At 37.7% G+C, this 26,332-nt stretch overlaps 1 protein-coding gene across 6 annotated transcripts in view; it reads right to left on the bottom strand.

Moving 5' to 3' along the window:
- RSRC1 (arginine and serine rich coiled-coil 1) overlaps window positions 1–26,332 on the bottom strand; it is a 435,642-nt gene that overhangs the window by 283,866 nt on the left and 125,444 nt on the right. The gene's annotated exons all lie outside the window — the stretch shown is intronic.

Raw genomic sequence — 26,332 nt, 5'->3', positions numbered from 1 at the left:
CACAACTCACCATAATGTAGAATTAATGGGAGCCCTGAGTTTGTTTTCCTGAAACTAGACAGTTCCATCTGGTGGTGATGGGAGACAATGACAGATCATCAGGCATTAGATTCTCATAGGAGCATGCAACCTAGATCCTTCACATGCATAGTTCACAATAGGGTTCATGCTCCTATGAGAATCTAATACTGCTGCTGATCTGACACAAGGCAGAGCTCAGGCAGTAATGCAAGCGATGGTGAGTGGCTGTAAATACAGATGAAGCTTCGCTTGCTACTCCACAACTCACCTCCTGCTGTGCATCCCAATTACTAACAGGCCATGAGCCAGCTGGGGACCTCTGTGTTAAAGTACTTGAATCCAGAATATATAAAGAACTCTAAAAACTTAGTCATAAGGGAAAAATAACCCAATACAAAACAACCAAAAGATTTAAACACACACTTCACCAAGGAATATATATATAGGTGAAAAATAAGAAGATGGAAACATGTGAAACATCATTAGCTATCAGAGAAATGTAAATTAAAGCCACAATGATGCACCACTATATACCTATTAGAATGTCTAAAATTAAAAAGACTGACCACGCACAGTTTTGCTGAGGATGTGGAATAATTAGAACACACATACACAGCTAGCAGAATTGTAATATGGCACAACCACTTTGGAAAATAATTTGGCAATCTGTTAAAAAGTAAAGCATAGAGGGAAGGCGGAGCAAGATGGCCAAATAGGAGCCTGCAGTGATCATCCCCCTGGCAGGAACAGCAAATTAAACAACTATCCACACAAAAATGCATCTTTGAAAAGCCCAAATCAGGTAAGCAATATAACAGTACCCAGTTTTAACACCACATTAAGGAAAGAGACACTGAAGAGAATAGGAAAATCATCTTGAATCACCTACACCACCTTTCCCTGAACCCCCAGCAGCAGCCATGTGGTGCAGAGACAGAATCTGTGCACTTGGGGGAGGGAAAGTACAGTGATTGTGGGACTTTATGTTGGAACTCAGAGCTGCCCTGTAGCAGCAAAAAGCAAAATGGGATAGAATTCAGCCAGGGCCCAGACAGAGAACATTTGGACCAGCCATAGTGAGAGGTGAACTGTCCATCCCAGTCGTTGGAATTAGAGTGCTGGCAAGCTCTGTCAATATGGGCTAAAGTAGCCTGGGGTCCTAAATAAACTTGAAAAGCAGTCTAGGCCACAAGAACTGTAATTCCTGGGCAAGCCTCAATGCTATGCTTGGCTCAGAGCCAGAGTACTTGAAATGCGCGCAACCTGGTGAGACACAAGCCAGGATGCCCAAGGAAGTGCTTGTGTCACTCCTCCCCTAATCCCAGGCAGAACAGGTGCAGCTCTGGAAGAGATTCCTTCTTTCTGCTTGAGGAGAGGAGATGGGAAAGTAAAGAGTTCCTTGTCTTGCAACTGGGATACCAACTCGGCCACAGCAGAATAGGCCACCAGGCAGAATCCTGAGGCCCCCATTCCAGGCCATAGCTCACAGATGACATTTCTAGACATACCCTGGGGAAGAAGAGAATGTGCTGCCTTGAAGGGGAAGACCTAGTCCTGGCAAGATTCATCAACTGTTAACTAAAGAGCCTTTGAGCCCTGAATAGTATGTACTACAGGTCTTGGGTGAGACTCAGAGCCAAGCTGGCTTGCGGTGTAACCCCGCACATTCCAAGCTGTGGTGGCTATTGGAAGAGACTCCTCCTTCAGAAAAGGAGAAGAAAAGGAGTAAAGAGGACTTTGTCTTGCAGCTTGGCTACCAACTCAGACACACTGGGGTAGAGCACCAAGTGGACACCTGGGGTCCTCAATTCCAGGCCTTGAATCCTGGATGGCATTTCTGGACCTGCCTTGGGCCACAGGGGACCCAACTTACCTGAAGAGAGACACCCAGACATGGCAACATTAACCACAAGCTATTGAAAGAACCCCTTAACCTTGGGTGAGCATTGATGATAGCCAGGCAATACTCACCACAGCCCTGCGGCAGTGAGGCCATAGGGAGAGACTCCTTAGCTTGAGAAAAGGGGAAGGAAGAGCAGAAAGGACTTTGCCTTGCAGCTTAGGTGATAGCTCAGCTGCACTAGAACAGAGAACTAAGTAGATTACTAAGGTTCCTCGCTCCAGGCCCTGGCTCATGGACAGCATCTCTGGACCTGCCTGGGGCTGGGGGGAACTCGCTGCCCTGAAAAGAAGGACACAAGCCAGGCTAGACTCACCACCTGTGGATTGTAGAGCCACTGGACTTTGAGTGAACATACGCAGTAGCCAGACAGTGATCACCGCAGGCCATGCACAAGACCCAGTGCTGTGCTGAGTACGGGTCTGATCAAGCACAGTCCCTGTAATGGTGGCCAGAAGGGTGTTTGTCACCCTTACCCCAGTTCCAGGCAGTTCAGCACAGAGTGAGACACTCTGTTTGGGGAAAAGAAAGGGAAGGGAACAAGAGTCTCTGTGTGGTAATCCAAAAAATTCTCCTGCATCTTACCAAAGACCACCAAAGTAGTATCTCTACGAGGCTACAAGAGCCACAGCATTACTGGGCTTGGAGTGCTCCCTAATGCAGATATAGATGCCATGACCAAAGACATAGAGTGCAACACCCAAGTCCCTATGAATACTCGGAAAGCCTCCCCAAGAAGGATGAATACAAACAAGTCCAGACTGTGAAGGCTACAATAATAATGCCCAGACACCTATAAACATTTCAATGCCCAGACACCGATGAACACGCAGAAGAATCAAAACATTCCAGAAAAAGATGGCCTCACCAAAGAAACTCAACAAGGTACCACCAGCCAATCCTGGAAAGATAGACATACATAACCTTTCAGACAGAATTCAAAATAGCTGTTGTAAGGAAGGTGAACAAAATCCAAGATAACAAATACCAAGAAGAAATTCAGAATCCTATCAGCTAAATTTAATAAAAAGACTGCAATAATTTAAAAGAATCCAGCAGAAAATCTAGAATTGAAAAATGAAACTGACATACTGAGAAATGCACCAGAGTCTCTTAGCAGAACCGATCAAGCAGAAGAAAGAACTACTGAGCTTGGAGACAGGCTATTTGAAAATACACGGTCAGAGGAGACAAAAGAAAAAAGAATAAAAAAACATGAAGCACACCTACAAGATCCAGAAAATAGCCCCAAAAGGGCAAATCTAAGCGTTATTGGCCTTAAAGAGGAGGTAGAGAAAGAGACAGAGGTAGAAAGTTTGTTCAAAGGGATAAAAACAGAGAATTTCCCAAACCTAGAGAAAGACACCAGTATTCAAGAACAAGAAGGTTATAGAACACCAAGCAGATTTAACCCATAGACTACCTCAAGACATTTAATAATCAAACTCCCAAAGTAAAGAAAGAAAAGGATCCTAAAGGCAGCAAGAGAAAAGAAACAAATAACAGGAAAAGGAGCTCCAATACATCTGGTGGAAACCTTACAGGCCAGAAGAGAGTGGCATCACATATATGAAGTTCTGAAAAACAACAACAACAAAAAAAAAACTTTTATCCTAGATTAGTATATCCAGCAAAAATATTGTATAAATATGATGGAGAAATAAAGACTTTCCCAGACAAACAAATGCTAAGGGACTTCATCAACACCAAAAAAAAAAAAAAAAAAAAAAAAAAAGGTTAAAAGGAGTTCTTCAATTTGAAAGAAAAGGGCATTAATGAGCATAAGAAATCATCTGAAGGTTTAAAACTCACTGGTAATAGTAAGTAAACAGAAAAACACAGAATATTATAACATGTAACTGTGGTGTGTAAACTACTCATATCTTGAGTACAAACACTAAAAGATGAACCTATCAAAAATACTAACAACCTTCCAACTCACAGACAGTAAAATAAGCTATCAATAGAGACAGGACAAGGTTAAAAAGCAAGAAAGGGGACGAAGTTAAGGCATAGAGTTTGTATTAGTTTTCACTTTGCTTGTTTCTTTGTTTATGCAATCGATGTTAAGTTGACATCAGTTTAAAATAATGAGTTATATTATTTTCAAGCCTCATGGTAACCTCAAATCAAAAAACATATAAGAAACACACCAAAAATAAAAGCAAGAAAATAAACCACCAAAGAAAATCATCTTTGCTAAAAGAAAGACAGGAAAGAAGAAAAGATGGAAGAGAGGACACAAAACACCTAGAACACAAATAACAAAATGGCCAGAGTAAGTATCTATTTATCAATAAAAACCCTGAATGTAAATTAACCAAACTCTCCAATCAAAAGGCATAAAGTGCCTGAATGGATAGAAAAACAACACACAATGATCTGCTGCCTACAAGAAACATACATCACTTAAAAAGACAGCCAGACTGAAAATAAAGGGAGGAAAAAAGATATTCTATGCTAATAAAAAACAAAAAAGAGCAGGAATAACCATATGTATATCAGACAAAATCGATTTCTAAACAAAACCTAAAACAAGAGGCAAAGTCATTATATAATGAAGAGGTCAATACCGCAAAAGGATAAAGCAATTATAAATAAACATATACCAGTAAATAATAAAATGAAGGCAGAAATAAAGATGATCTTTGAAACAAATAAGAACAAAGACACCAGTGTACCAGAACCTCTGGGACACATTGAAAGCAGTGTGTAGAGGGAAATTTATAGTACTAAATGCCCACAAGAGAAAGCAGGAAAGGTCTAAAATCGACACCCTAACATCACAATTAAAAGAACTAGAGAAGCAAGAGCAAACACATTCAAAAGCTAGCAGAAGGCAAGAAATAACTAAGATCAGAGCAGAACCAAAGGAGATAGAGACACAAAAAACCCTTCAAAAAAAATCAATGAAACCAGGAGCTGGTTTTTTGAGAAGATCAACAAAATTGACAGACCACTAGCAAGACTATTAAAGAAGAAAAGAGAGAAGAATTAAATAGGTGCAATAAAAAATGATAAAGGAGATACCACCATGGATCCCACAGAAGTACAAACTACCATCAGAGAATACTATAAACACCTCTACACAAATAAACTATAAAATCTAGAAGAAATGGATAAATTCCTGGACACATACACCCTCCCAAGACTAAACCAGGACGAACTTGAATCTCTGAATAGACAAGTAACAGGCTCTGAAATTGAGGTAATAATTAATAGCCTACCAACCAAAAAAAGTCCAGGAACAGATGGATTCACAGCCGAATTCTACTAGAGGTACAAAGAGTAGCTGGTACCATTCCTTATGAAACCATTCCAATCAATAGAAAAAGAGGGAATCCTCCCTAACTCATTTTATGAGGCCAGCATCATCCTGATACCAAAACCTAGCAGAGACACAACAACAACAACAACAAAGAGAGAATTTTAGACCAATACCCCTGATGAACATCCATGCAAAAATCCTCAATAAAATACTGGCAAACCAAATCCAGCAGCACATCAAAAAGCTTTTCCACCACGATCAAGTAGGCTTCATCTCTGGGATGCAAGGCTAGTTCAACATACGCAAATCATAAATGTAATCCATCACATGAACAGAACCAACGACAAAAACCACATTATTATCTCGAGAGGTGCTGAAAAGGCCATCGACAAAATTCAACAGCCCTTCATGCTAAAAACTCTCAATAAACTAGGTATTGAGGAACGTATCTCAAAACAATAAGAGCTATTTATGATAAACCCACAGCCAATATCATACTGAATGGGCAAAAACTGGAAGCATTCCCTCTGAAAACCGGCACAAGACAAGGATGCCCTCTCTCACCACTCGGATTCAACACAGTGTTGGAGGTTCTGGCCAGGGCAATCAAACAAGACAAAGAAATAAAGGGTATTCAAATAGGAAAAGAGGAAGTCAAACTGTCCCTGTTCGTAGATGACATGATTGTACACTTAGAAATCCCCATTGTCTCAGCCCAAAATCTCCTCAAGCTGATAAGCAACTTCAGCAAGGCCTCAGGATACAAAATCAATTTGCAAAAATCACAAGCATTCCTATACACCAATAACAGACACCAATAACAGACAGCCAAATCACAAGTGAACTCCCATTCACAATTGCTACAAAGAGAGTAAAATACCTAGGAATCCAATTTACAAGGGATGTGAAGGACCTCTTCAAGGAGAACTATAAACCACTGCTCAACGAAATAAAAGAGGACACAAACAAATGGAAGAATATTCCATGCTCATGGACAGGAAGAATCAAAATGGCCATACTGCCCAAGGTAATTTATAGATTCAATGCCATCCCCATCAAGCTACCAATGACTTTCTTCACAGAATTGGAAAAAACTACCTTTAAGTCCATATGGAACCAAAAAAGAGCCCGCATCTCCAAGTCAATCCTAAGCCAAAAGAACAAAGCTGGAGGCATCATGCTACCTGACTTCAAACTATACTACAAGGCTACAGTAAACAAAACAGCATGGTACTGGTACCAAAACAGAGATATAGACCAATGGAACAGAACAGAGGCCTCAGAAATAACACAACACATCTACAATGATCTGATCTTTGACAAACCTGAGAAAAACAAGCAATGGGGAAAGGATTCCCTATTTAATAAATGGTGCTGGGAAAACTGGCTAGCCATATGTAGAAAGCTGAAACTGGTTCCCTTCCTTACACCTTATACAAAAATTAATTCAAGATGGATTGAAGACTTAAATGGTAGACCTAAAACCATAAAAACCCTAGAAAAAAACAGAGGGAATACCATTAAGGACACAGGCATGGGCAAGGACTTCATGACTAAAACACCAAAAGCAATGGCAACAAAAGCCAAAATAGACAAATGAGATCTAATCAAAGAGCTTCTGCACAGCAAAAGAAAACTACCATCAGAGTGAACAGGCAACCTACAGAATGGGAGAAAATTTTTGCAATCTACCCATCTGACAAAGGGCTAATATCCAGAATCTACAAAGCACATAAACAAATTTACAAGAAAAAAACAAACAACCCCATCAAAAAGTGGGTAGAGGATATGAATAGACACTTCTCAAAAGAAGACATTTATGCAGCCAACAGACACATGAAAAAATGCTCACCATCACTGGTCATCAGAGAAATGCAAATCAAAACCACCATGAGATACCATTTCACACCAGTTAGAATGGCGATCATTAAAAAGTCAGGAAACGGCCAGGTGCGGTCACTCACACCTGTAATCCCAGCACTTTGAGAGGCCGAGGTGGGTGGATCATGAGATCAGAAGATCAAGAACACCCTGGGTAACATGGTGAAACCCCATCTCTACTAAAAAATACAAAAAATTAGCCAGGCGTGCTGGCGGCCGCCTGTAGTCCCAGCTACTCGGGAGGGTGAGGCAGGAGAATGGCGTGAACCCAGGAGGCAGGGCTTGCAGTGCACCGAGATCGCACCACTGCACTCCAGCCTGAGCGACAGAGCGAGACTCCGTCTCAAAAAAAAAAGTCAGGAAACAATGGATGCTGGAGAGGATGTGGAGAAATAGAAACGCTTTTACACTGTTGGTAGGAGTGTAAATTAGTTCAACCATTGTGGAAGACAGTGTGTCATTTCCTCAAGGATCTAGAACCAGAAATGCCATTTGACCCAGCAATCCCATTACTGGGTATATACCCAAAGGATTATAAATCATGCTACTATAAAAACACAGGCACACGTATGTTTATTCTGGCACTATTCACAATAGCAAAGACGTGGAACCAACCCAAATGTCCATCAATGATAGACTGGATTAAGAAAATGTGGCACATATACACCATGGAATACTATGCAGCCATAAAAAAGGATGAGTTCATGTCCTTTGCAGGGACATGGATGAAGCTGGAAACCATCATTTTCAGCAAACTAACACAAGGACAGAAAACCAAACACTGCACGTTCTCACTTACAGTTGGGAATTGAACAATGAGAACACTTGGACACAGGGCGGGGAACATCACACACCAGGGCCTGTTGTGGGGTGGAGAGAGTGGGGAGGGATAGCATTAGGAGAAATACCTAATGTAAATGATGAGTTGATGGGTGCAGTAAACCAACATGACACACGTATACCTATGTATCAAACTTGCATATTCTGCACAAGTACCCTGGAACTTAAAGTATAATTAAATAAATAAATATATAAATATATACCAACCAATGGAACACCCACATATATAAAGCAAGTTTTATTAGACCTAAAGAGAGAAACAGATTTCAGTACAATAGCCGGAGATTTTAACACCCCAATTTCAGCACTGGACAGATTATGTAGAGAGAAAATCAACAAAGAAAATTTGAACTTATGTGCACTATCCAGGAAACGGACCTAATTGATATTCACAGAAAATTTAATCTAATGGCTGCAGAACACTCTTCTCCTCAGCTCATGGATTATCTCAAGGACACACCATATATGAAGCCATAAAACAAGTTGTAAAAACTTCAAAGACATTAGAATGATATCAAGTATCTTCTCTTACTACAGTGGAATAAAATTAAAAATCAAAAAGAAGAGGAATTTTGTAAACTATACAAACCATGGAAATTAGATGATATGCTTCTGAATGATGAGTGGCTCGATGAAGAAATTAAGGAGAAAAATAAAAAAATTTCAAGAAACAAATAAAAATGGAAACACAACACACCAAAAATCTATGGGATACAGCAAAAGTAGTATGAAGAGGAAAGTTTACAGGAATAAGAATCTACATCAAAAAAAGCAGAAAAGCTTTAACAAGCCAGCGATACATCATAAAGCAAAAGAAAATAGAAGACCAAACCAAACCCCAAATTAGTAGAAGAAATAAGATTAGAGAAGAAATAAATGAATTTGAAGCCAATAAGTGCCAAAAAAAATCAATGAAAGAAAAAGTTCATTTTCTGAAAAGAAAGAAAATTAAGAAAACCTTTAGTCAGTCTAAGAGAAAAAGAGAGAAGAACCAAATCAATAAAATCAGAGATGAAAAAGGAGACACTACAACTGATACCACAGACATTTAAAGGATCAATAAAGGCTACTATGAGAAACTATATGCCAAGAAATTGGAAAACCTAGAAGAAACAGAAATATTCCTAGACACATACAGTCTACTAAGATTGAACCATGAAAAAATACAAAACGTGAATAGACCAGTATCAAGTAACGAGATCAAAATCATAATAAAAAGTCTCCCGGTAAAGAAAAGCCCATGACTCAATGGCTTCAATGCTGAATTTACCAAACATGTAAAGAACTTATTCCAATCCTACTCAAATTTTTCCAAAAACTAGAGAAAGAAGGAATACTTCCAAACCCATTTTATGAGGCCAGTATTACCCTGATACCAAAACCAGACAAAGACACATCAAAAGAAGACTACAGACCAATATCCCTGATGAACATTGATGCAAAAATCCTCAACAAAATACTAGCAAACTGAATTCAAGAACACATTCATCGGCCGGGCGTGGTGGCTTACGCCTGTAATCCCAGCACTTTGGGAGGCTGAGGTGGGCAGATCACAAGGTCAGGAGATCGAGACCATCCTGGCTAACACAGTGAAACCCCATCTCTACTTAAAAAAAATACAAAAAATTAGCCGGGCGTGGTGGCGGGTGCCTGTAGTCCCAGCTACTTGGGAGGCTGAGGCAGGAGAATGGCGTGAACCCGGGAGGTGGAGCTTGCGGTGAGCCGAGATCATGCCACTGCACTCCAGTCTAGGCAACAGAGCGAGACTCCTTCTCTAAGAAAAAAAAAAAAAAATCATTCATCATGACCAAGTGAGATTTATCCCAGAGAGGCAAGAATGGTTCAACATATGCAAATCAATCAATAGGATACATCATACCAACAGAATCAATTAATGCTGAAAAAACATTTGATAAAATTTAACATCCCTTCATAACAAAAACCCTCAAAAAGCTGGGTACAGAAGGAAAATATCTCAATGTAATAAAAGCCATATATGACAGACCCACAGCTAGCATCATACTGAATGGGGACAAACTGAAAGCCTTTCCTCTAACATCTGGAAGAAGACAAGGATGCACACATTCACCACTGTTACTCAACAGAATTATAGAAGTCTTAGCTAGAGCAATCAAACAAGAAAAGAAAATGAAGGGCATCTAAACTGGAATGAGAAAAGTCAAATTATCCTTGTTTGCAGATGATATGATCTTGTATTTGGAATAACCTAAAGACTCCACCAAAAAACTATAATAACTGATGAACAAATTCAGTAAAGCTGCAAGATACAAAACCAACATACAAAAACCAGTAGCATTTCTACATGCCAAAAGTGAACATTCTGAAAAAGAAATCAAGAAAGTAATCCAATTTACAATAGCCACAAATAAAATTAAATTCTTAAGAATTAATTTAACCAAAAAACAAAGATCTCTATAATGAACACTATAAAATATTGGTGAAAGAAATTGAAGAGGACATAACAAAATGGAAAGATATTTCATGTTTATGGATTGGAAAAATCAATATTGTTAAAATGTCCATACTACCCAAAGCAATCTACAGATTTAATGCAATCTCTCTTAAAATACCAATGAAATTTTTTGAAGAAATAGAAAAAAAATCCTAAAATTTATATAAAACCACAAAAGATCCAGAACACCCAAAGCCATCCTGAATAAAAAGAACAAAACTGGAGGAATCATATAACCTTACTTTAATAAAACTACAGAGCTATAGTAACCAAAACAGCATGGTACTTGCAGACAAACAGACACAGACCAATGGAACAGAATAGAGAGCCCAGAAACAAATCCACACACCTACAGCGAACTCATTTTCAACAAAGGTGTCATGAACATAGACTGGAGAAAGGACAGTGCTGGGAAAACTGGATATCCATATGCAGAAGAATGAAACTAGGCTCCTATTTCTCACCATATACAAAAACCAAATCAAAATCAATGAAAGACTTAAATTTAAGACCTCAAACTACGAAAGTACTACAAGAAAACATTGGAGAAACTCTCCAGGACATTGTTCTGGGCAAAGATTTCCTGACTAATACCCCACAAGCACAGCCAACCAAAGCAAACATGGACAAATGTTATTACATCAAGTTAAAAAGCTTCTGCACAGCAAAGGAAACAATCAACAAAGTAAAGAGACATCCCAAAGATTGGGAAAATATCTGCATCCCAAAGAAAATATCTGCAAACTATCCATGTGACAAGGGATTAATAACCAGAATATATAAGGAACTCAATAACCTCAATATGAAAAAAATATTATGATCTGATTTAAAAAGTGGGCAAAAGACTTGAATGGATGTTTCTCAAAGGAAGACATACAAGTGACAAACAGGTATTTGAAAAGCCATTCAACATCACTGATCATCAGAGAGAAGCAAATCCAAACTACAACAAAACATTATCTCACCCCAGTTAAAATGGCTTTTATCCAAAAGACAGACAATAACAAATGCTGGTGAGTATGTGAAGAAAAGGGTAGCCTTGTACACTGTTGGTGAAAGTGTAAATTAGTACAACCACTATGGAGAACAGTGTGGAGGTTCCTCATAAAACTAAAAATAGAACTACCATATAATCCAGTAATCCCACTGCTAGGTATATAACCAAAAGAAAGGAAATTTTTGTATCAAGATCATCTGCACTCCCACGTTTATTGCAGCACTATTCACAATAGCCAAGATTAGGAAACAACCTAAGTGTCCATCAACACAGAAATGGATAAAGAAAACGTGCTAACATATACACAATAGAGTACTATATAATCATAAAAATGAATGAGATCCTGTAATTTACAATAACACAGCTGGAACTGGCGGTCATTATGTTAAGTGAAATAAGCCAAGCACAGAAAGACAAACTTCACATGTTCTCACTTATTTGTGGGAGACAAAAATTAAAACAATTGAATTCATGGAGAGAGTACAATGATGCTTACTAGAGGCTGAGAACGGTAGTGGGGTGTGGTGGGGGAAGTCAGGATGGTTAGTGGGTACAGAAATATAGATAGAATGAAAAAGAGTATTTGATAGCACAAGAGGATCGCTACAGTAATTAATAATTTATTACACATTCAAAAATAACAAAAAGTATAATTGAATTGTTTGTAACAAAAAGGGTAAATGCTTGAGGTGATGGATACCCCATTTATTCTGATGTGATTATTACGCTTTATATACTATATCAAAATATCTCATGTACTCCATTAATATATAAACCTACTACGTGCCCCAAAAAAATAAAAATAAATTTTTAATTTAAAAAAGTGAAGCATAAATGTACCATAGATCTACACATTCTACTGTCAAAAGAAATGAAAGAATACGTCCATACAAAGACTTATACATGAATTTTCACAGCAGCTGGTTTTGTAATAGTCAAAAATTGGTAACAACCAAAATATCCCTCACTAGGTGAATGAAAAGTCAAATTGTTTCATAGAAACCATAATATTTAATAGAATACTATTCAGCAACAAAGAGAAGTGATACTTGCAACAACATGAGTGTCAGAACACTTATGCAGAGTGAAAGAAGCCAGACAGAAAGTACATATCCTGTAAGCGATTTTATTTATAGAAAGCTCTAGGAATGCAAACTAGTCTGCAGTGACAATAAGTGGGTGCCTGAGGGAGGGAGAGTGGATGCGAGGTAGGGGGTGATTACAAAGGAGTGATGGAGGATAAGTTCACTATCTTAATTGTGATGGTTTCACAGGTAAATCAAAACATATAAAATTGCATGCTTTTAAATATATGCAGCTTACTGAATGTTAATTATACCTCAATAAAATGATTTTTTAAAATAGGAGAAATATTGACTAGACACACTACACAAAAGAAGATACACACGTGGCCAAAAAGCAAATAATTGATACTCAATATTATTAGGTATCAGAAAAATGGAACTTATACTCACAGTAGAATACATCTACAAATCCATCAGAACGACTAAAATCAGAAAGAACAACAATACCAACTATTGGTAAGTATATGGAGCAACCTGACACCTGTCAATGTACAGTGGTACTAGGCCTATAGAAAACTATTTTGCAGTTTCTTAAAAAGTTAACCTAAGCTGGGCAGGCGGATCACTTGAGGCAAACAGCTTGAGACCAGCCCTGGCAACATGGAGAAACCCTGTCTCTACTAAAAATACAAAAATTAGCCAGGCGTGGTGGCACATGCCTGTAATCCCAGCTACTCAGGAGGCTGAGGCAGGAGAATTGCTTGAACCCAGGAGGCGGAGGTTGCAGTGAGCCAAGATCACATTACTGCACTCCAGCCTGGGAGACAGAGTGAGACTCTGTCTCAAAAAAAAAAAAAAGTTAATCCAAACCTACAAAACAAGTCAGCCATCCAATTTCCAGATAACAAAAACATGTCTACTTAAAGAACTATATATAAATGCTCATAATAGTTTTACCAGTAATAGTCAAAAACAGGAAACAGTAACAGTCAAAAACAGAAAACAACTCAACTGTTTATTAACAGGTGAGTGAAAAAACAAAATGTGATACATTTATGGAATAGAATATTACTTATCATTCAAAGGAACTGCTGATATATGCAACATTGTGAATGAATCACAAAATCATAATGCTGAATGAAAAAAGCTAGACACAAATAAAAAACACACAAAAGTAATTTACAGTGACTCCTGTCTATGTACAGTGGTACTAGGCCTTTAGAAAACTATTTTGCAGTTTCTTAAAAAGTTAACCTAGGCTAGGCAGGCACATTAGTGGTTGCCTGAAGCTGGGGTATAGGGCAAGATGGACTACAGAGGGAGCAAGAGAAAATGCCTGTGAAGGAGGGTGCCAAGATGGCTGATTAGAAGCAACTGTGCTCCTAAGCACTCTCGAAGAGGAATGAAAGGGGCCAGTGGATATAGCACCTTCAACTGAAATATCCAGATAGTCGCATTGGGTGGTAGGTGTGTGGTCTTATTTCTGGGTTCTCTATTCTCTTCCATTGGTCTATGTGTCTGTTTGTGTAACAGTACTGATTAGGAAACAACCCATGAAAACTGAAGAAAAGCAGGGTGGGGCGATGGCCAACCTGAGAGTGACATAGAGCTAAGGGAACATCTACTCACAGCCAAGGGAAGTGGTGCATTCAGGATGGCAATAGGTCAGTGCCGCCCTAGGATGGAGGGTCTAGAGGAAGGGGCAGGCTGCCATCTTTGTTTTTTGCAGCCTTCACTGGTGATACCTCCAGGTACAGGAAGAACCAAAGCCAACTAGGTTCTGAAACAGATCCCCTGCAGACCACAGCAGCCCTACAGAAGAGAGGCTAGACTGTTAAAAGAAAAATAAACAAACAGAAAACACAACAACAATGAAGAAAAACCACAAAACCCCATCCAAAGGTCAGCAACCTCAAAAATCGAAGGTAGATAAGCCCACAAAGAAGAGCAAAACCCTGCAAATCAGTGCAAAACCCTGAAATCAGTGCAAAACCCTGAAAACTCAAAAAGCCAGATTGCCGTTTTCTCCAAATGACCACAGCATTTCTCCAGCAGGGGCTCAGAACTGGGCTGAGGCTAAGATGCCTGAAATAACAGAAGTAGGATTCAAAAGATGGATAATAACAAACTTTGCTGAGCTAAAGGAGCATGTTGTAATGAACGCAAAAAAGCTAAGAATCAGAATAAAACAATACAGGAGCTGACAGCCAGTTTAAAGAGGAACATAACTGACCAGTTAGAATTGAAAAACACAGTATAACCTCACAATTCAATCACAGTATTAATGGCAGAATGGACCAAGTGGAGGAAAGAAATCTCAGAGCTAGAAGACTGGCTTTCTGAATAAGGACAGGCAAACAAGAATAGAGAAAAAAGAATGAAAAGGAATGAACAATCCTCCGAGAAATACAAGATTATGTAAAGAGACTGAATCTATGAATGATTGGGGTACCTGAAAGTGAGGGAGAGAATGGAACAAGTTGGAAAACATACTTCAGGATATCATCCAGGAGACACTCCCCAACCTAGCAAGACAGGCCAACATTCAAATTCAGAAAATGCAGAGAACCCCACAGAACTTCTCCATGAGAAGATCATCCCCAAGACATAATTATCAGATTATCCAAGTTCAAAATGAAGAAAAAATGTTAAGGGCAGCCAGAGAGAAAGGCCAGTTCATCTACAAAGGGAAGCCCATGAGACTATCGGTGGACCTCTCAGCAGAAACCCTACAAGCCAGAAAAGATAGGGGGGCAACATTCAACATTCTTAAAGAAAAGAATTGCCAACCCAGAATTTCATATCCGACCAAACTAAACTTCATAAATGAGGAAGATATAAAATCCTCTTCAGACAAGCAAATGCTGAGAGAATTCATTACCACCAGACCTGCCTTGTAAGGGCTCTTGAAGGAAGCACACTACATATGGAAAGGACAAACTATTACCAGCAACAACAAAAACACACTTAAGTAACCATAAAAACAAGTCTGCAAAAAAACCAGTTAGCATCATGATGACAGGATTAAATCTACACATAACAATGCTATCCTTTTTTTTTTTATTATACTTTAAGTTTTAAGGTACATGTGCACAACGTGCAGGTTTGTTACATATGTATACATGTGCCATGTTGGTGGGCTGCACCCATTAACTCGTCATTTAACATTAGGTATATCTCCTAATGCCATCCCTCCCCCCTCCCCGCACCCCACAACAGGCCCTGGTGTGTGATGTTCCCCTTCCTGTGTCCCTGTGTTCTCATTGTTCAATTCCCACCTATGAGTGAGAGCATGCGGTGTTTGGTTTTTTGTTCTTAACGATAGTTTGCTGAGAATGATGGTTTCCAGCTTCATCCATGTCCCTACAAAGGACATGAACTCATCATTTTTTATGGCAAGTGGGCGAACAATGCTATCCTTAAATGTAAATGGTATAAATGCCCCAATGAAAGACACACAATGGCAAGATGGATACAGAATCAAGACCCATTGGTACACTGTATTTAAAAGACTCATTACAGGCTCAAAATAAAGGCATGGAGGAAAATTTACCAAGCAAATGGAAAACAGCAAAAGGCAGGAGTTGGAATCCTAGTTTCTGACAAAACAAACTTTAAACCAACAAAGATCATAAAAGACAAAGAAGAGCATTACACAATGCTCTTACATTTCAAAGACCTTCTAGATTACATAATGGTAAAGGGTTCAATTAACAAAAAGAGCTAACTATCCTACATACATATGCACCCAATGCAGGAGCACCCAGATTCATAAAGTAAGGGGTCAGAGATCTTCAAAGAGATTTAGACTCCCACACAACAATAATGGGAGACTTTAACAAGCCACTGACAATATTAGACAGATCACAGAGACAGAAAATTAACTAAGATATTCAGGACATTAACTTAGCTTTGGAATAAGTGGACCTGATAGGTATCCATAGAACTCCTTCACCCTGAAACAACAGAATATACATTCTTCTCATCACCACACAGCATTTACTCTAAAATTAACCACATATTCGGAAGTAAAACACTTCTCAGCAAACGCAAAATAACTGAAATCATAACAGTCTCTCAGACCGCAGCAAAATCAAATTAGAATTCAAGATTAAGAAATTCACTAAAAGCCATACAAGTACATGGAAGCTGGACAACCTGCTCCTAAATGACTCTTGAGTACATAACGAAATTAAGGCAGAAATCTAGAATGTCTTTGAAACTAATGAGACCAAAGATACAACATACCAGAATCTCTGGGTCACAACTAAAGCAATGTTAAGAGGGAAATTTATAGCACTAAATGCCCACATCAAAAAGCCAGAAACATCTCAAATTAATAACTAAAAGAACTAGAGGACCAAGAGAAAACAAACCCCAAAGCTAGCAGAACACAAGAAATAACCAAGATCAGAATGGAACTGAAGGAGACAGAGACAGAAAAAAAAAAAAAAACCTTTGAAAAATCTACAAATCCAGGAGCTGGTTTTTTGAAAAAATTAATAAAATAGATACAACCAACCATCAGAGAATACTATAAAGACCTTTATGCATACAAATGAGAAAATCTGGAAGAATGGATACATTCTTGAACACGTATATCGTCCAAAGATGGAACCAGTAAGAGTTTGAATCTCTGAACAGACCAATAATGAGTTCTGAAACTGCAGCACTAATAAAAAGCCTACCACTCCAAAAAAGCCCAGGATCAGATGGATTCACAGCTGAATTCTACCACAGGTAGAAAGAAGAGCTGGTACCATTCCTACTTAAACTATTATGAAAAACAGAAAAGAAGGAACTCCTCTGTTAACTCATTCTATGAGGCCAGCATCATCCTGTTACTGAAACCTGGCAGAGATATAACAAAACAAAAAGAAAACTTCAGGCCAATATCCTTGATGAACATTGATGCAAAAATGCTCAACAACATGCTGGAAAACTGAATCTAGCAGCACATCAAAAAGCTTATCCACCACGATCAAGCAGGCTTCATCCCTGGCATGCAAGGCTGGTTCAACATATGCAAAGCAGTAAATGAAATTAATCACATATGCAGAACTAAAGACAAAAACCACATGATTATCTCAATAGATGCAGAGAAGGCCTCTAATAAAATTCAACATCCCTTCATGTTGAAAAGTCTCAGTAAATTAAGTATTGAAGAAACATACTTCAAAATAATAAAAGCCATATGTGACAAACCTATTGCCAATATCAACTGAATGGGCAAAAGCTGGAAGCATTTCCTTTGAAAACTGGCACAAGACGATGCCCTCTCTCACCACTCCTATTCAACATAGTATTGGAAGTTCTGGCCAGGATTATCCGACAAGGGAAAGAAATACAGGACATTCAAATAGATAGAGAGGAACTCAAGCTATCTTTGCTTGCAGATGGTGTAATCCTATATATAAAAAAAAACCCCACTTCAAATAGCTAGAAAGGAACTCAAACTATCTTTGCTTGCAGATGACATAATCCTGTATATTAAAAAAAAAAAAAAAAACCATAGTCTCAGCCCAAAAGCTTAAGCTGATAAGAAACTTCAGCAAAGTCTCAGGATACAAAATCAATGTGCAAAAATCACTAGCATTCCTCTACGTCAATAACAGGCAAGCCAAGAGCCAAATCATGAATGAATTCCCATTCACAATTGTCACAAAAGGAATAAAATACCTAGGAATACAGCTAACAAGGGAGGTGAAGTACCTCTTGAAAGAGAACTAAGAACCAGTGCTCAAAGAAATCAGACATGACACAAACAAATGGAAAAACACTCCATGCTCATGGATAGAATCAATATTGTTAAAATGGCCATACTGCCCAAAGCAATTTATAGATTCAGTGCTATTGCTATCAAACTACCACTGACATTCATCACAGAATTAGAAAAAACTATTTTAAAACTAATATGGAAGCAAAAAAAGCTGCAATAGCCAAGGCAATCCTAAGCAAAAAGAACAAAGCTGGAGGCATCATGCTACCTGTCTTCAAATTATACTACAAGGCTACAGTAACCAAAATAGCATGGTACTGTTACAAAAACAGACACACAGACCAATGGAAGAGAAGAGAAAACCCAGAAAGACCACACACCTACCACCATCTGATCTCTGACAAACCTGACAAAAACAAGCAATGGGGAAAGGATTCCCTATTTAATAAATGGTGCTGGGAGAACTGGCTAGCCATATGCAAAAAACTGAAATGGGACCCCTTCTTTACACCATATACAAAAATCATCCCAAGGTAGATTAAAGACTTAAATGTAAAACCCGAAACTATAAAAACTTCAGAAGAAAACCTAGGTGATACCATTCAGGACATAGGCATGGGCAAAGATTTCATGACAAAGACACCAAAAACAATTGCAACAAAAGCAAAAATTGACATAGGGAATCTGATAAAACTAAAGAGCTTCTCCACGCAAAAGAAATTGTCATCAGAGTAAACAGACAACCTACAGAATGGGAGAAAATTTTTGCAATCTACCCATCTGACAAGGGTCTAATATCCGGCATCTACAAAGAACTTAAATTTACAACACAAAAACAAACAACTCCATTAAAAGTGGGCAAAGGACATGAACAGACACTTCTCAAAAGAAGATATATATGTGACCAACAAACATGAAAAAAAGCTCAACATCACAGATTATTAGAGAAATGCAAACCAAAACCACAATGAGATATCATCTCATACCAGTTAGAATAGCTTATTAAAAGGGGGGAAAAAAAAACAAAAACAGAAGCTGGCGAGGTTGTGTAGAAAAAGGAACACTTTTACAGTGTTGGTGGGAGTGTAAATTAGTATAACCATTGTGGAAGACAGTGTGGCAACTCCTGAAAGACCTAGAACCAGAAATACATTTGACTCAGCAATCACATTACTAGGTATATACCCAAAGGAATATAAATCATTATTATAAAGATACATGCACACGTGTGTTCATTACAGCATTATTCACAATAGCAAAGACATGAAATCCAACTAAATGTCCAACAATGATAGATTGGATAAAGAAAATGTGGTTGATATACACCGTGGAATACTACAGAGCCATAAAAAGGAACAAGATCATGTCCTTTGCAGGGACATGGATGGAGCTGGAAGTCATTGTCCTCAGCAAACTAACACAGGAACAAAAAACCAAATATCGCATGTTCTCACTTATAAGTGGGAGCTGAATGATGAGAATACATGGACACATGGTGGGAAACAACACAAACTGGGGCCTGGTAGAGGATGGGAGGTGGCAGGAGAAACAGCATCAGGAAGAACAGCCAATGGATGCTGGGCCTAATACCTAAGTGATGAGATGATCTGTGCAGCTAATCACCATGGCACACACTTAACTATGTAATGAAGCTGCACATTCCGCATATGTACCCCTAAACTAAAAAAAAAAAAAAAAAAAAAAAAAAGGTTGGAAATTAAGAAAAACAAAGAATGAAAATGTCTGTGAATGATAGAAACATTCATATCATGTGATGGTAATTTTAAGAGTATATACTTCCATAAAAATTCACTAAATTGTATATTTTAAATGGGTGTATTTTATTACATATAAACTACACATCAGAAATGTTTTTATATAGGTAAAATTAGCATGATATGCTTAAATTCAAGGGGAAATTTTTGAATCATGGTTTTAAGATACAGACTTTCAAGATACTTTTTAAAAAGAGGGATTAAACTAAACTATGAGCCATCTTCAGTGATTTACCTAGAAGAGTCGATACTACTGCAGCCTTTTCATTCATCATAAACTACTAAATCTTTTATTGCAAATGATACAGCATGTTTAACATTAGTTTACATAACTGCTTTGCTTATTCTCTGGGTTTTCACTTAACCCGGCTGATTTTTTATTAGTCCACTAGCATTTTAAGCTCTGCAGGATTTTAGAAAAAAAAAATAGTCTACACTTGGTGTTTCTCAATAAGGCACTATGGACACTTTTTTAAAAAAAATATTTTTATAATATATATATATATTTTTGAGACAGTCTTGCTCTGTCCCCAGCCAGAGTGCTACTGGAGTGCAGTAGCATAATCTCAGCTCACTGCAGCTTCTGCCTCCTGGGTTCAAGCAATTCTCATCCCTCAGCCTCCTGAGTAGCTGGAACTACAGGTGCGCGCTACCATGTCCAGCTTTTTTTTTGTATTTTTAGTAGAGCTGGGGTTTTGCCACATTGGCCAGGCTGGTCGCGAACTCCTGGTCTCAAGTGATCCACCCACCTTGGCTTCCCAAAGTGCTGGGATTACCGGCGTGAGCCACCGTGCCCAGCCACTGCTGGCATTTTTAATGGCAGAATTTCTTTGTTGTAATAAATAGGGTGTTCTATACCATGGATAGTATCAAACCCTACATATTACTATGTCTTTTCCTATACATACATACATATACATACTTTATGATAAAGTTTAGTTTATACATTAGGTAGCATAAGAGATTAATGACAATAACTAATAAGAAAATAGAACAATTATAATAATATGCTGTAATAAAAGTTATAAAAATGTGATTTTTCTCACTCTCAAAATATTTTATTTTATTGTATTGTATATTGTATTCACCCTTCTTGTGATCTGTCAATCTGATAAGTAAGATTGCTACTAACTAACAGGCTGGTAGCACATACAGCATGAATATGTTGATTCACAGAGAATGAAAGTGAGACAGTGAAGATTTTCATCAAAATTCTCAGAACAGCATGCCACTTAAAATTTATAACTTGTTATTTACTGAAAATTTTCACTTAATATTTTCAGACCACTGTTGACCATGGGTAACTGAAATCCTGGAAAGCAAAACCACAGATAAGGAGAAGACTACTATACTAAATCTGGGGAAAGAGAGAACAGGAAAGAAAAATTACGCGTAAATCTCACCCAGGAAGATTGTTAAAAATCATTAAGTAAATAAACCAAATCCAGCAATGTATTCAAAAAGATTATACATCATGAATAAGCCAGGTTTATCTCAATAATGTCAGGACAGATTAATAACAGAAAATCTATTAATATTATTTACCCCATTCCTGGGTTTAAAAACTACAAAAATTTCAATTGATATAGAAAAAAATCTTTGATAAATATGAAATATGTAAATTTTCTAAAAAATCCTTCCCCAACTAAGAATTGAAGAAAACTTTATTAGTAGGAAAGGTTAACTACCAAAAACCAAGAACAAAATTATATTCAATGATAAAATATTAGCAGAATTCCCATTCAAATCCAAAACATGACAAAGATATGAGTGATAAAAAATAATAACTGTAATAGGCAGACAGGCAACAATTCAACAAAATACATTCAAGATATTTATAGAAAAAAGTTGGTTTTTATAAAGATATTTTAAAACTCATAAATAAATGAAGACTATAGTATGCCTATGGATGGTAAAGACAAATATATTACAGGAATCAGTTCCCACCAAACAAATCTACAGATACGATGTAATTCCAATCAAAGTACAAACAAGTTGTTTTTTTGGAACTTGAAAAGCTAATTCAAGCTTTTTAGAAAAAAGCACAAGCACTAAACATTCAAATGGTAAAACTTCTATTCATCTAAAAATTTCTATTATTCTTTCTTTTATTGTTAAGAAAATAAATAGGCAAGCCACAAACTGGGAGAAAACATTCACAACACATATCTGACCAAAGAATTAAACCCAGAATATAGAAGAAATTCCAGTACCCTATAATGAAAAGGTGAACCATTTTTTTTTAATACTTTAAGTTCTAGGGTACATGTGCACAATATGCAGGTTTGTTACACAGGCATACATGTGCCATGTTGGTTTGCTGTACCCATTAACTCATCATTTACAATGGGTATTTCTCCTAATGCTATCCCTCCCCCAGCCCCCCACCCCATGACAGGCCCCGGTGTGTGATGTTCCCCACTCTGTGTCCAAGTGTTCTCATTGCACAGTATTCCATGGTGTATATGTGCCACATTTTCTTAATCCAGTCTATTTCTGATGGACATTTGGGTTGGTTCCAAGTCTTTGCTATTGTGAATAGTGCTGCAATAAACGTGTGCATGGGTCTTTATAGTAGCATGATTTATAATCCTTTGGGTATACACCCAGTAATGGAATTGCGGTGTCAAATGGCATTTCTAGTTCTAGATCCTTGAGTAATTGACACACTGTCTTACACAATGGTTGAACTAATTTACACTCCCACCTACAGTGTAAAAGCATTCTATTTCTCCACATCCTCTCTAGCACCTGTTGTTTCCTGACTTTTTAATGATTGCCATTCTAACTGGGGTAAGATGGTATCTCATTGCGGTTTTGATTTGCATTTCTCTGATGACCAGTGATGATGAGCATTTTTTCATGTGTCTGTTGGCTGTATAAATGTCTTATTTTGAGAAGTGTCTGTTCATATCCTTTGCCCACTTTTTGATGGTTTTTTTTTCTTGTAAATTTGTTTATGTGCTTTGTAGATTCTGGATATTAGCCTTTTGTCAGACGAGTAGATTGCAAAAAATTTCTCCCATTCTGTAGGTTGCCTGTAGACTCTGATGGTAGTTTCTTTTGCTGTGCAGAAGTTCTTTAGTTTAATTAGACCCCATTTGTCTATTTCCGCTTTTGTTGCCACTGCTTTTGGTGTTTTAGTCATGAAGTCCTTGCCCATGCCTATGTCCTGGATGGTATTCCCTCTGTTTTTTTCTAGGGTTTTCATAGTTTCAGGTCTAACATTTAAGGCTTCAATCCATCTTGAATTAATTTTTGTATAAGGTGTAAGGAAGGGAACCAGTTTCAGCTTTCTACATATGGCTAGCCAGTTTTCCAAGCACCATTTATTAAACAGGGAATCCTTTCCCCATTTCTTGTTTTTGTCAGGTTTGTCAAAGATCAGATCGTTGTAAATATGTGGTGTTATTTCTGTGGCCTCTGTTCTGCTCCATTGGTCTATATCTCTGTTTTGGTACCAGTACCATGCTGTTTTGGTTACTGTAGCCTTGTAGTATAGTTTGAAGTCAGGTAGCATGATGCCTCCAGCTTTGTTCTTTTGGCTTAGGATTGACTTGGAGATGCGGGTTCTTTTTTGGTTCCATATGAACTTTAAAGTAGTTTTTTCCAATTCTGTGAAGAAAGTCATTGGTAGCTTGATGGGGATGGCACAGAATCTATAAATTACCTTGGGCAGTGTGGCCATTTTCACGATATTGATTCTTCTATCCATGAGCATGGAATGTTCTTTCATTTGTTTGTGTCCTCTTTTATTTCGTTGAGCAGTGGTTTGTAGTTCTCCTTGAAGAGGTCCTTCACATCCCTTGTAAGTTGGATTCCTGGGTATTTTACTCTCTTTGCAGCAATTGTGAATGGGAGTTCACTCATGATTTTGCTCTCTGTTTGTCTGTTATTGGTGTATAGGAATGCTTGTGATTTTTGCACATTGATTTTGTATCCTGAGACTTTGCTGAAGTTACTTATCAGCTTAAGGAGATTTTAGGCTGATGAAACGTATCTCAAAATAATAGGAGCTATTTATGACAAACCCACAGCCAATATCATACTGAATGAGCAAAAACTGGAAGCCTTTGAAAACTGGCACAAGACAGCAATGCCCTCTCTCACGACTCCTATTCAACATAGTGTTGGAAGTTCTGGCCAGGGCAATCAGGCAAGAGAAAGAAATAAAGGGTATTCAATTAGGAAAAGGGGAAGTCAAATTGTCCCTGTCTGCAGATGACATGACTGTATATTTAGAAAACCCCATTGACTCAGCCCAAAATCTCCTTAAGCTGATATGGTGAACCATTTTTTTAAGTGGACAAAAGGCTTGAACAATTATTATACAAGGGAAAATATATAAATGGCCAATGAGCACATTGAAAACTATTTAACATCATTAGTTGTCAGAAAAGTGCAAACTAAACATCAAAATACCACTTCAAATCCATTAGAATAGTTGGAATTCAAAGGACTGACAACACCAAATGTTGGTGAAGATGTGCAACACCTGAAACTTTTTGCTGGAACATGCATTGCTTATGGGAATATAAACTACAACAACTGTAGAAAAACATTTAGCAATGAAACATACCTTTACTATCAAACCCACCCATTCCACTGCTAGGTATTTACTCAAAAATAATGAAAACATATGTCCTTCCAGAGACATGTATGTAAGTGTTCAAAGCTGCTTTATTCTCATTAGCCAAAAACTGACTGTTAGGTGTTTACTCATGAGATATTAAACACATCTCTCCGCAAAGACTTGTATAAGACAGTCCATGGTAGCATTTGTCATAATAGCCTCAAAGTAAAAATAATTGAAATATCCTTTGTCAAAGCTGATCATAAGATTTAGGTCATTCTTGTCATACATAACTGAAAGAGAGTCAAGAAGCCAGAGGGATAAAGCGCTTGACACATAATGTTGTTTCAAGAATATAATTCTTGGTAAGCCTGAGTGTTGAAACTGCCTCCTGTAACCTAAAACCAGTTTTATCTAATGGCTTCTGAAACCTGCTGCAATTCTAAGACTAGTTTTATCCACTACCATCATTCACCAATCAGAGACTGGCAGCTCCCCGTAACTTTACTACTGCCAATGAACTTTCTGGAGAAACAATACATAACATCTCTTCTTTTTATAAAACCCCCAACCTCCTCTTTGTTGTTTGGACATATGCAAGACCACCCAGTCTGCAGGGATAGCAATTCTTTCTTTCCCAAATACAACATCTCTACATATTTTATTTGACTTTTCCCATCTTCAATAGGAGAATAAATTGTGGTTCATTCATTCAATGGAATACTACTCATCAATAAAAGGAATAAACTACCAATACATGCAACAGCATGCAACATGGATAAATCTCAAACATTATGCTGAGCAAAAAAAGCCAGATGGAAAAGCATATATACTCTATGATTCCATTTATATGAAGTTCTAGAACTAATCTATTGTAAGTGAAATCAGAGCAGTTGTTGCTTCTGGATGCTGGGGGCCAGGACTGACTGCAAAGAAAAGCACAAACAAACTTTTAAAAGAGATAAGGTGTGGGTTACACGAATGAATGTTAAAACTGACTGAATTCTATATGTAAGATCTGTGCATTTCACCACAAGTAAATTACACCTCAATAAAGACGTACCTTTATTTTAAAAATCACATAATAGCACTAAACTGGATTTTAACTCTAAATTATATAATCAAAAATAACAAATGAGAAGGGTAGACAAACTCTCTTGAACTATTACTACAATTAATTATATTAACAAATTTCACAATATTGAATTACCTTTGTATTCCTCCAATACATCACAGATAACTCTGGGTTTATTTTTCTTCTTCCTTTTTTTTTTTTGAGACAAGACTGTCACTCTGTCACCCAGGCTGGAGTGCAAGGGCACAATCTCAGCTCACTGCAACCTCCGCCTCCTGAGTTCATGGAGTTCTCATGCCTCAGCCTCCTGAGTAGCTGGGATTATAGACATACACCACCATACCCGGCTAATTTTTATATTTTTAGTAGATGCAGGGTTTCACCATGTTGGCCAGGCTGGTCTCAAACTCCTGACCTCAAGATCCACCTACCTTGGCCTCCCAAAGTGCTGGGATGATAGGCATGAGCCACCGCCCCTGGCCTGGTTTATTTTTCTAATTGCTGGATTATTTGCTAAAGTTCTATTTATACTTTTTGCATCTTGTTTATAAACTGAAAAACATTATTTTAAAAACCATTTTATACATACCATGCAACAAAGCAAATATATAACTATGTTAATGTTTGTTATTAGAAGAAATACAGACATTCACTGAAGGAGAAAAATTATATGTAAACATTTAATCTTAAGTAAAAATTCTGTAGTGTTAAGTTTCAGTTTAAAATATATATGAACTCATCATTTTGTATGACATATGCCATAGCATATGCACATTTTGTATTCT

This window comes from Homo sapiens, chromosome 3 (assembly GCF_000001405.40).
Source record: "Homo sapiens chromosome 3, GRCh38.p14 Primary Assembly".
Taxonomy (NCBI): domain Eukaryota; kingdom Metazoa; phylum Chordata; class Mammalia; order Primates; family Hominidae; genus Homo; species Homo sapiens.
The sequence above is the reverse complement of the archived record's forward strand: the minus strand, read 5'-3'. Positions and strand labels throughout refer to the sequence as shown.